This window comes from Homo sapiens, chromosome 4 (genome assembly GCF_000001405.40).
Source record: "Homo sapiens chromosome 4, GRCh38.p14 Primary Assembly".
NCBI lineage: Eukaryota > Metazoa > Chordata > Mammalia > Primates > Hominidae > Homo > Homo sapiens.
In genome coordinates, this window is record NC_000004.12 from 17,573,801 (window position 1) to 17,585,726 (window position 11,926).

General features: G+C 47.0%; 1 protein-coding gene across 1 annotated transcript in view, besides 4 other annotated features; it reads left to right on the forward strand.

Annotated features, from left to right (window-relative positions):
• Positions 3,046-3,405: an enhancer, noted in NCBI's record as "active region_21350". NCBI's record gives its function as "activates an Ori minimal core promoter by ATAC-STARR-seq in GM12878 lymphoblastoid cells {active_cell/tissue: GM12878}" and the evidence as "EXISTENCE:reporter gene assay evidence [ECO:0000049][PMID:35858748]".
• The window catches only part of LAP3 (leucine aminopeptidase 3), a 30,773-nt gene continuing 22,244 nt past the window's right edge, over positions 3,398-11,926 (forward strand). Inside the window, exons 1-6 of the mRNA NM_015907.3 lie at positions 3,398-3,767; positions 6,024-6,139; positions 7,960-8,014; positions 8,488-8,593; positions 9,683-9,842; positions 11,172-11,336. Coding sequence (NP_056991.2) covers positions 3,666-3,767; positions 6,024-6,139; positions 7,960-8,014; positions 8,488-8,593; positions 9,683-9,842; positions 11,172-11,336 — 704 coding nt within the window. The 5' untranslated portion in view covers positions 3,398-3,665. The remainder of the gene's footprint in view (positions 3,768-6,023; positions 6,140-7,959; positions 8,015-8,487; positions 8,594-9,682; positions 9,843-11,171; positions 11,337-11,926) is intronic.
• Positions 3,466-3,675: a silencer, noted in NCBI's record as "silent region_15311". NCBI's record gives its function as "represses an Ori minimal core promoter by ATAC-STARR-seq in GM12878 lymphoblastoid cells {active_cell/tissue: GM12878}" and the evidence as "EXISTENCE:reporter gene assay evidence [ECO:0000049][PMID:35858748]".
• Positions 3,746-3,945: an enhancer, noted in NCBI's record as "active region_21351". NCBI's record gives its function as "activates an Ori minimal core promoter by ATAC-STARR-seq in GM12878 lymphoblastoid cells {active_cell/tissue: GM12878}" and the evidence as "EXISTENCE:reporter gene assay evidence [ECO:0000049][PMID:35858748]".
• Positions 9,101-10,300: an enhancer, noted in NCBI's record as "CDK7 strongly-dependent group 2 enhancer chr4:17584524-17585723 (GRCh37/hg19 assembly coordinates)". NCBI's record gives its function as "activates an origin of replication core promoter dependent on BRD2, BRD4, P300/CBP, MED14 and CDK7 cofactors, with strong dependence on CDK7, by STARR-seq in HCT116 cells {active_cell/tissue: HCT116}" and the evidence as "EXISTENCE:reporter gene assay evidence [ECO:0000049][PMID:35650434]".

The following is an 11,926-nucleotide window of genomic DNA, read 5'->3' on the forward strand; positions in this document are numbered from 1 at the left end:
TGCACTGGCACAATCATGCCTCACTGAAGCCTCAATCTCCCAGGTTCAAGTGATCCTCCTACCTCAGTCTCCCGAGCAGCTGGCACTACAAGCATGCACCACCACATATGGCTGTTTTTTTTGTATTTTTTGTACAGACAGGGTTTTGCCATGTTGCCCAGGCTGGTCTCGAACTCCTGGGCTCAAGCGATCCACCTGCCTTGGCCTCCCAAAGAGCTGGGATTACAGGTGTGAGCCACTGTGCCCAGCCAATTAATATGTTTTTCTCGTTAATCTGTCTTATGTCAACTTAATTCTCAGGCCCAGCTGGAGACCCTAAGATGGTAGAGGTTAAGTTTTGCCCCCTCTACAATAATAAAATCCTTGAAGACAGGGACACTGTTTTAGATTCTTTTTTATCCCATGATTTCTAACAGAAAAACATCTTAAGCACCTTGTAAACTTAGGGTTTGAAGGATGACTAAATCTTTCATCCCAAAGTGATCCACAATCCTGATTATTTGTAGACTGTGAAATGTACTTTTCTTTTGTACCATTAGGCATGTGAAAATGTAAATGGTGTGGTCCTTGAAGCAAAGAGAAAAGTAAATGATACACCAGAGTCTCAGGCTGGACCCGCAAGTCAATAAAACAGGTAATAAATTCAGCTGAGCAGATACAGACAAGGGTAACCTACAGCTCTGAGGCTTGGATGCCTCTGAAGCTCAGAGACCCTCTACTCACATACCAAGGAGGGGACAGGTTTTCGCATTCCATTTTTTAGTTTCAGAAACTGCGGCCTGATCTATCACGTTGGAAGGAGGGAAGAGCTGTAAAGTGAATGTAAAGATTTCGCTGTCTTTGGAGCAAATATAGATAAAATTTGGTGAGTTTATTGAGTTTATGATGCAACTCCATTTTAACTATCTAGAGAAGGTGGAAGCCAGAGTGGACCTACCAGTCCAACCCACTCAGCCTTCAAGAGAGGAAGATCAAATCTCTCCTCTGGAGTGTCTAGCTCTTGGAGAGTGAAATAGACATTCTTTCTTTCCTGCAACTGAGCTCAAGGTGAAGACTTTGCTCACTGCAGCTGGTGTAAGCCTCCCCACACCCCTGCACCTCAGCTAAAATTGCAATCAGATCAACAGTGGTGTAATTTTTTTAAAAAGAGATGGGGTCTTGCTCTGTGACCTAAGCTGGAGTGTAGTAGTACAATTATGGCTCACTGCAGACTCAACCTCCCAGGCTCAAGCAAACCTCCTACCTCAGTCTCCCCATTAGCGGGACTACAGGCACACATCTGGCTAATTTTTTAACTTTTTGTAGAGATGGGTATCTCACTACCTTGCCCAGGGTGGTCTTGAACTCCTGGGCTGAGTCGATCCTCCCACCTCGGCCTCCCAAAGTCCTGGGATTATAAGCATGAGTCACTGCACCCAGCTGGCTGGTGTCATTATTAAGAACAATTTTTGTATCCCTCCTCGTGCTTACCCATATTCTCCGAGTTGCATTCAGCTGTGTACTTTTTTACAATGAGAAATTTAAAACCAGCCGGGCGCGGTGGTTCACGCCCGTAATCCCAGCAATTTGGGAGGCCAGGGCGGGTGGATCACTTGAGGTCAGTACTTCAAGACCCACCTGGCCAACATGGTGAAACTCCATCTCTACTGAAAATACAAAAATTAGCCAGGCGTGTTGGCGGGCGCCTGTAATCCCAACTACTTGGGAGGCTGAGGCAGGAGAATCGCTGGAACCCAGGGGTGGAGGTTGCAATAAGCTGAGATCACACCAGTGCACTCCAGCCTGGGTGACAGAGCAAGACTCCGTTAAAAAAAAAAAAGTAAAAAATAAGGAATTAAAAAAAACAAAACGCTTTACAGAAAATAAAAATATATAAAAATATTGAGCACTACTTGAAAACTTTCTATTGAAACCATCCCCACTGTGTTGACAAAAATTTCATGCCAAGTTCTAGGCAGAAATATAGTTATAATTAAGCATTAATCAGGCTGTACTTTGGCCCACTTCCTTGTTGCTAAAAGTCACCTAGCACTACATACTGACCATTTGCATTCCCATTGTTCCTATAGACAGGATCTCTGACATTAGAATCATAAGCTTTCTGTTTAAGGATCGCTTAAGATATTTTTCAGACCTTGAATTCCAGCTACCAGTTTGAAGATCCCCAGAGAGGAATGGGGTCAGCTTAAGAATACAGGTTCTTCAACGCCCTGTCCCATGACTTCACCCTGCACTCTTCAATCAACGATCTCCACACTATAGCCCTCTCCAAAACCCTTAAAAACCTTGACCCCAAATTCCTCAGGGAGATGGATTTGAGGTTTCCTCCCATCTCCTCCTTTGGCGACTCCACGATTACACCTCTTTCTCTGCTGCAACCCTGGTGTCTGGGCGTATTGACTTGCTATGTGCACGAGTCAACGAACCTAATAGTGTTACATCATTTTCAAAAACAGTATTTACACCGTTGCACCTGTGGAACAGATGAAAGGACACGAATAAAAATAACTCAGGCCAGGTGCGGTGGCTCACGCCTGTAATCCCAGCACTTAGCGAGGCCGAGGCAAGTGGATCACGAGGTCAGGACTTCGAGACCAGCCTGGACAACATGGTGAAACCTCGTCTCTACTAAAAATACAAAGAGTTGCCGGGCACGGTGGCTCACGCCTGTAAGTAATCCCAGCACTTTGGCAGGCTGAGGCGGGTGTATCACCAGAGGTCAGGAGTTCAAAGCCAGCCTGGCTAACATGGCCAAACACTGTCTCTACTAAAAATACAAAGATTAGCCAGGTGTGGTGGTGGGCGCCTGTAGTCCCAACTACTCGGGAGGCTGAGGCAGGAGAATCTGTTGAACCCGAAAGGCGGAGGTTGCAGTGAGCCGAGATTGCGCCACTGCACTCCAGCCAGGGCTACAAGAGCGAGACTCCGCCTCAAAAAAAAAATCCAAAAAAACAACAAAAAAACACAAAGATTAGCTGGGCGTGGTGGCGGGCGCCCCTAATCCCAGCTACTCGGGAGGACGAGGCAGGAGAATCGTTTCAACTAAGCAGCGGGAGGTTGCAGTGAGCCGAGATCGCTCCATTGCACTCCAACCTGGGTGACAGAGCGAGACTCCGACTCAAAAAAACCAAACAAACAAACGAAAACTCAGTGGGAGTGTCTTCACTATGCAGTCGTCTATTCAGCAACCTTGACAACAAGCTCTGGCACTCAGTTTCTATTTCCCGGGAGTTGCCCAGCGCTCCGCCCACGCCCGCTTGCAGAACTCGCCCCGCCTCCGCCCCACCCATCGTGTGACGTCACCATATCGGTCCCGCCCCTCTACTTCGCGTTGCTCCCGGGACTGTCAACCGCGTCCGGAAGCCCCGCCTTTTCGCCCCCGCCCGCATGCGCGGGCGCACACGAATGCGGGCGCACACGAATGCGGGCGCACACGAATGCGGGCGCACCCTTGAGTCCCCTCCACAACCGCGGTTTGATCCCAGCGGTCCAGTCGGCCGGTGCTGCCCATCCGTCCCGCCCCCTAGACGCACGTCCGCTCGCCCGGCGCCCGAGCCAGTCCGCGCGCACGCCGTCTGCGCCCCGAAAGCCCCGCCCCAAGGCGCGCCCGCCCACCGCTCTCCACGTGCTCGCTGGAGGGCGGTGCGAGGGGCCGAGCCGACAAGATGTTCTTGCTGCCTCTTCCGGCTGCGGGGCGAGTAGTCGTCCGACGTCTGGCCGTGAGACGTTTCGGGAGCCGGAGTCTCTCCACCGCAGACATGACGAAGGTGAGAGGCGGCGGCTCGCTCATGGTCCGCCGCTGGGGCCCTGCCCGTGGGCTACTGGGGCTGCGGGGCTGGTCGAAGCCGCGGTGTCCTGGGCGCCCAAGCCAAGTTGCAAAAATCAGTTTAAAAGAAAAATTCTCTCCTTGCGGGGATCGGCCTAGGCCGCTGAGGACCCCAGCGGTCGTATTGAGGGCGCGATTCCCCTGCTCGGGGCTAGGGGGTGATGGTTGTAGCCGCCCTTTACCCGGCTCCACTCGGCCGCGCACTTGCTCCAGTCGTCACCCGCGGTCCTGGCAGTAACCCGGGGAAAGACGCGGCGGTGGGGCTCCCATCCGAGCTTGGAGGAAGCCCGAGTTTGCCAAGGTGAAAGGGTTTCTGAGGTCCCAGAGTCACAGGGCTCCTTCCCCCGCGGAAGTGAAAGGTCAGGGAGTTAAGTAGCTTGGAAGGGTTTCTAGAGGAAAAGCATGCCTCTCTAGAGAAAAGGGCTTTGGGGAGAGACCCACGTTTCCCAGAATTAAGAGCATCTTCCAGAAGAAAAGTGAACTCCAAAAAATTACGAAGGTCGCTCTTCAGATGTGAAGGATCTGCAAAGGGAATGGCTCTCGGAACCAGCACAAGCTTGGGAGTCATGCCTAAGCACCAGAAAGAGATGACTGTCCCTGCAGAAGAACGTTCTAGGGGGAGCTTGAGCTCCAGTCTCCTGCAGGTATCTCAGTGGTGGAGGGACCAGTCGCCTGACCAGTGCTATCTCCAGTACTGTGCCACAGCCTACCCAGATAACAGTTGCTCAGTTGGCTCCATTGATTCCCGGGGAGTGAACAATCTTAGGGAAGTTAGAACCTGGCAGAGTTACCAATGCCAAGGAAGGCCGTTTTCTTTGGTGGAAAAGACCGAGAGGGCACTATTCTAAGTGTCTGTGTGGTTTTGTGGAAAGATCAACTGCTGGGCGGGAAGACATCTGGATTCTCACTCAGTCCTACCACACCACACAGGAGCTCCTGTCTCAAACTAGGTTTCAGTTTCCTTATCGGTCAAGGGGGATAAGGCTACTTGTTCTTTCCACCTCACAGAGTTGCCATGAGGCAGACAAAACATTTTTAAAGTCATAAATTGCCGTGCAAAAGTAAATACTAAGTATTACTAGGTTTGCTTCCTCATTTCTGGTATTTGAGACCTGAGACTTGTGAAGGAGATGAAGGGAGTGAGCCGCTAAGTGCTTAGCAGAGTGCTTCTACCCTCCCTAGGAAGTTGGTACTTCTCTTACAGCCTCTGTGTTGACCACAGTCCTTACGTGGCAACAGTCCTTACGATGGGAGGCACAGCCATTGGCTTGACTGGAACGGCATCCTAGAATATCTGGGATTTGCACTTGAGGATTGTAGGGGAGGAAAATCTTCCCTCTATCCTCCTAGGTTCTGTGGCTGGGCCTAAGAAAACTGACATAAGATGTATTAACAAGAGAAAAGGATACAGATTTTATTTACTATTTTTACGTGTACACAGGAGTCTGCAAGAGGAAAATGAAGACCTGAAGAAGCGTTGGGCCCAAAAGCTTGTATACCTTTTTAAACAAAGAACAATGCATTGTGGGGGTGTGACAAGACAAAGGGGCTTGGGTTAGTAAATTGTGGAATAATGACTAGGAAATCATATGGGGGTAACTAACAGAAGATAAGGGTGAGTTCAGTAGGTTTATTTGTACAGGTCCATTTTGGTGTTGACTTCCAGTTTCTGGTGATAAGAATGTTCTCCTTTTCCTGGTACAGGGAGATCACCTTTCTCATGGGAATTTGTGTGACCTGCTTTTAGGGAGAAAGGGAGGTCAGAGAGTACCTCTGCACCTGCTGTTTCTCAAGCGCCTTTGGCTGAAAATAACTAATGTGCCAAAGCGGTATATTTTGGAGTGGCATGTTCTGAATCCTTTCAGGGTCTATCTTGGTGACAAATAGATTTTTCTTAAACAAAACATCTTTCTGCTTTATTTGAAAGTGAAGCCGTCTCCTAGGAGTGAGCACAGAAACCCAGGGCAATGTCCAGGACGGGCAGTGATGGGTCTTGCTTTGGCAGGAATCTGAAACACTTGGGCAGGTGCACATGTAGCTGACCCCAGCACCTGCTTCTTTTTTTGCTTTCTTCTGTCCATGGGGAGGACACGGTTTGGGTGGAATTATTTGTTCCTTCTGGAATTTGGGGACTCCTGAGCCTCTCTAAGGGATCTACTCTAATTCTATTATATTTACGTTTTTTGCTTATTCCCAGGGCCTTGTTTTAGGAATCTATTCCAAAGAAAAAGAAGATGATGTGCCACAGTTCACAAGTGCAGGAGAGAATTTTGATAAATTGTTAGCTGGAAAGCTGAGAGAGACTTTGAACATGTAAGTGTTGCTTGTGGGCTCTAGTTCTTAAAGTGCCCCCAAATCGAAACAGTATTTTTTCTTTCTTTTCTTTTTTGAAACAGAGTCTTGCTCTGTTGCCCAGGCTGGAGTGCAGTGGCACGATCTTGACTCACTTCAACCTCTGCCTCCTGGGTTCAGGTGGTTCTCGTGCCTCAGACACCCAAGTATCTGGGATCACAGGCATGCCTCACCACTCCCGGCTTTCATATATATATATATATGTATTTTTTTTTTTTTTCAGTAGAGTTGGGTTTCACTGTTGTTGGCCAGGCTGGTGTTGAATCCCTGGCCTCAAGTGATCTGCCTGCCTTGGCCTCCCAAAGTGCTGGGATTACAGGTGTGAGCCACTGTGCCAGGCCAAGAATATTTTTCTATGCCTTTTTGTCAGAAGAGACAATGCCGGGAAGTGCTCTGGCCAGAAGCAGAAGTGAAAGCCTGTGTCTTTGGAATGCACTTTGGTACTTTCTGTTTCAGTATGGATGGGTCTGCAGTTCTGGGAAGTCAGGCCATTTCCAGCCCAATCAGAAATCTATTGTGAAAGACTGATCCAGAATAATCTGGAAAGTACCAGATTTCCTCAGCCCACCCTCCTGGCTCAAATTCACTTTCCCCACCCTCTTCCTCCCAGCTGCCTTCCCACCAGCCTCTCTACTTCTTTTAACTCCCCTTTTCTTGTGAGAGCAGGATCCCTAGGATAGTTAATAGCAGCCTAAGGGTTTTGCTCTTTTATTGCCTGCCTGAAGTTTCAAGGGCTTCTCAAAATTTAAAATATCTGTGAATCACCTGAGGATATAGTTAAAATACAAAAAGTCTCCATGGGGCTGGAGATCCTGATGGTAGGGAAACATTGTAACTGCATGCTGTATTTGGCAGACATGGAAGTATCCATGTAAACCACTGCAACTATGTATTATTCGGATTATAGATAGCCTATTGGAACCTAATAGATGCAGTCTAATAATTATAGTAACTAATAATCGGTTAAGAGAATTTGTATCTCCTCTCAATTTTTTATCAGTTCTTGTAGTACACAGAGCATTCTCAAGTGCATTGATTAATTCATTAATCCAAAAGCTAACCTGTGAGTACAGAACGCCTGCCTTGCTAATGGATGGCTGTCAGCTGCATTCCAGAGCATCTGTGCTACGGGCCTCTTATAGTCATGGATCTGTTTTGTTTGGAAATTGCCCAGGATAGTCAGTATCCGGTTCGGGTATCCAGTCTGTGGAGAAACCACATAGATATACAACCTCCAAGCCAACCACCACTTAGATTACTGCAGTGTTTTTGGTGTCTTGTGGCTTTTATTGAAAAAGGTTTGAGATTCATTCGGTTCAGCGTCAATCCGTGCTCAGATGCCTTGTGCAGCTGTAGCATTGCTTTCCATTGTTTTTAAATATGTTTGTGTTAGATCTAATCTGAAAGTTTGTTAAATAGTTTTTGAGCTAGAATTAGAAAGGCTACACCTAAGAAATCTGGGCTGGGCACGGTAGATCAGCAGTGTAATCTGTATTACACCTGTAATCCTAGCACCTCGGGAGGCTGAGGTGGGAGGATTGCTTGAGCATAGGAGTTTGAGACCAGCCTAGGCAACAGAGTGAGACCCTGTCTCTATTTAAAAAAAAAAAAAAGAAAGAAATCTGGCTTGAGAGCATTCTGTATTTGGATAAAAACATAAGTGAAAAAGACCATGGAAGCAGTTAGCAGAATAGTGTGATAATGCCGAGTATGTAAGTGTGCCTTCCCAAGTGAACCGAGCAAAATACTTGTTTTAAAACGACTATTTCCTCTTGTTTTAGATCTGGACCACCTCTGAAGGCAGGGAAGACTCGAACCTTTTATGGTCTGCATCAGGTATGAGAAGAACGTGATCATTTGGTAAACCCTCAATGAGCATCTACTGTACACCAAGTATTGGGGCTGTCTAGTCATACTAAACATTATGTGTTGGATTGTATGATTTTATTCCACTATTAAGCAGAACATTTAAGATTAAGAGGCGATTTGCTGTCAAAAACTACTGCCTATCTTATATTCCTCAATCTGAAGGCTTTCTTTATCCGGTTGTGGCTCTGGCTTACACAGAATTATTTGCAAGAGTATCCTCACTTACTCTGCCTCTCAAACCTATAAGTTATACAATTTTGCCAGGACACAAAGGTTTTAAGAAAAAAAAGCCACAACCAAATTTCACCGTGCGTTTAGCCCTGTTGCTGCAGTTAAAGTAATTGTGTGGGAGCTCAGTGAGTCTCCACATGTAGAATTCCTTGCTGGAAATGAATGCTTGAAAGAAATAAAGTGGTTGATTTGGTGTATCTGTGGGACAGGACTTCCCCAGCGTGGTGCTAGTTGGCCTCGGCAAAAAGGCAGCTGGAATCGACGAACAGGAAAACTGGCATGAAGGCAAAGAAAACATCAGAGCTGCTGTTGCAGGTTATTTCACTTTTTAAGTTTAAAGAATCCTGAGGATCCACTCTTTTTGATGACCTCTCTTTCCCCTTTTTGTCCTTTTACCAGTTGCCACCCCTTACCACGTTCACACAGAAATAATTCATCTTAACAAAAATTCAGTTCCTCTTGCTGAATATGGTTGGCCTTATGATAAATACAGAAGGTTAGCTAATGGAATTTTATTTTTAATATATCTATATCTCATTTGGGTGTTTTACTACCATTTGTTCGCTCTTGTCATATTAGAGCTGTGTTTTCCCAGAACCTGTAGTGTATAGATTTTTTGTAATGCCACCCTGATGCCTCCCGACTTTTAAATAACACAGAGTCATCAGATTTTACAAATAAAGAGACTAAGGAAGCAAAGCGTGGCGTGCTTGTTTATCACTAGCCAAAGGTGTGTGCCTGTCCCAGTATGTCCCAGGCAGGGGCCATTGAGTCACTTAGCATTAAGCAGCAGGACGGGCCTAATACCGTCAAGAGCCATGATTAAAGATGCTTTGTAAAACATTTCTGAAACAGTGATAATTGGCTTGATTACTATTTAGGCCTGTGTATATTATAAATGCTCATTAACTTTACTTCAAATATCATTGAAGTGGTTATTTAATAACTTTTGAGAGTTTTTGCTGACCTGATCTTAATAAAATGCTGTGTTAATAATGGACTTTGCTCAGTTCTTTGGATATAATTTCAGCGTCATCATTTCCCTGTCATTTTTAATCAGAGAAGCTCTTGGCAATTGGGAAGCTTCATCAGGAAATCATAGTGTTTCAGAAATAATCCTAGGAATAATTGCCACTTCCTGAGAGCCTGTACGGCTCTGGGAGGAGCTATTCATTCTCTCCATCAGCCTGTCCTCACCACCACCTGGGAGTGAGGTACTTGCTGTAAAATGCACTCACGTCTTCATTTTACAGAAGAGGAAATGAGGCTCAGAACATTCGGGTATCAGGGCTGGGATTTGAACCCCAGGGCTGTTTTCTCAGCACATCACATCATGCCTCTGCTGTCTGCTCTTTGAGTTGTCTTGGACTGACTCCAGTTTTCTGATTCCTCTGTCTTTTCAAGCGGGGTGCAGGCAGATTCAAGACCTGGAGCTCTCGTCTGTGGAGGTGGATCCCTGTGGAGACGCTCAGGCTGCTGCGGAGGGAGCGGTGCTTGGTCTCTATGAATACGATGACCTAAAGCAAAAAAAGAAGATGGCTGTGTCGGCAAAGCTCTATGGAAGGTGATGGAAGCAAATTAGGAGGAGGGTGGTGCTCCCTGGCGTTCTGACAGCCTGGCTTTTGGGATATGAGCTGCCTGCTTTTCAGCGCCACCCACAGCTGCGTGGCTTGGCTGTGACCTCCCCATTGCCTCAGCCATTTTAATAATGTGGTCAAAATTAAGCCCAAGCTCTGCTCCTGGCTCTCGGCATATGTCTGATTCCCCCATGACTCCCTGACCCCTCCCTGCTCTGATTACAAGGAAGCCATAACCAGGTAGCTCTTACCTGAGAGGGAGGAATGACATGACAGACATATCCCACAGGTTTCAACCCAGATAATGTTCATTCATTTACCTGGCACCTGCTGGCCTTGTGCTAAATGCAAGCACCACACAGATGAAGAGATCCTCTGGATGCTTGGTCCTTGCCCTTGTGGGCTAGTGGGGTCCCTGCCATCAGGAATAAATAAGATGAGACCTTCAGCAGATGGTGCCAAGCACAGTGGGGGCCCTGGCACTGGCCAAGGGTTGGCAGCTGTGGGGAGTGGGGGAGAGTGCGGGCTCTGCAGCCAGTCAGCATGGGCTTAAGTCCTGGCTTCACCACTTACTCGTTGGGGGACCTTGCTGGTTACGTGGCTGAAATCTCTGTGCTTCATTTTCTGCATTTGTTTACTAGAGTTGTAATACCGATTTCATGGGGTTTGTATCATCATCCAAAAGAGCACATCAAGTAGGGGGCATGTGGCAGGCCTTCTAGGCCATCTACTGTTACTCACCCACCTCTGTGCTGCCATAGGAAGAGCCAGGGTTGTGAAACACGTGCCTGTATCCTTTCTCTTCTAAAGCTGGTCCTGCTTACGAATGGGTTGGAATTTGGAGCCCCGACTTAGGTAAAAGAAAGCAAAAAGGTCTTCAGTTGCCACGTTAGAGCCATTGCCATACGCTTGCTTTGCAGTTAGCACTTGGGGCTGCAGCATTCCTGATACAGTGAAGGAGAACAAAACGGGCTTTTCTGTGGAAGCCTCTTCTCTTCATTTATGTGGTAGATTTAGAGCTTCAAAGACCCCACAGCACAGGCCCTTTTTCATGTAGATGAGGATTCTGAAGGGAAGTGCCTGACCGGATACCCTCTGGTTCTGCTTTGTGTGGCCATGTTTTCTAGCTTTCTGCACCATACCATCTGCTGCCCTGGGTCAGATCACAAAAAATGAATCCAGGTCCTGTGTGCCAATTGTTTTTGATTTGTAGTCTTCCTCTTTTGTTTTCTGTAAGGTAAGAGTGTCTCTTAGTTGGCAGGCAGTCAGCGTTCTTGAGAGGTTGTTTGACAGTCACTTTATCTTTCTTCTGCCAGTGGGGATCAGGAGGCCTGGCAGAAAGGAGTCCTGTTTGCTTCTGGGCAGAACTTGGCACGCCAATTGATGGAGACGCCAGCCAATGAGATGACGCCAACCAGATTTGCTGAAATTATTGAGAAGAATCTCAAAAGTGCTAGTAGTAAAACCGAGGTCCATATCAGGTAATTCAGGATTGTGTCACAGACTCGAGATGTTACAGCCAGAAGGAGCCCTTGAGATCCTAAAATCCAGCTCCCTCACTTTTTAGAGGAATAACTTGAGACCAGAGATTTGAGATGACCCACTTGGGTCCACATGGGGAGCTGGAATAGAGCTGAGTTTGAGGTTCTTTCTATCTTTCCTTGCCTTTGAGAGAGAGAGTGCCATGATATACTATGTATGTGTATATTTCATAACTGTGTTATTCAGACACAATTAACATGCCATAGAATTCACCAATGCAAAGTGTGCAATTCAGTGATTTTTTTTTTTTTTTTTTTGAGACAAGGTTTTGCTCTGTTGCCCAGGCTGGAGGGCAGAGGCATGAACATGGGCTCAATTTCCTGGGCTCAGGCCTCCCACCCTAGCCTCCTCAATAGCTGGGATTACAGGTGTGTGCCACCATGCCCAGCTAATTTCTTAATTTTTTGTAGAGATGGGTCTCCCGCTGTGTTGCCCAGGCTGGTCTTACACTCCTGGGCTGAAGCAATCTCACCTTTTCCTCCTAAAGTGCTGAGATTACAGCCATGACCCCGCCATGCGGCCTGGTATT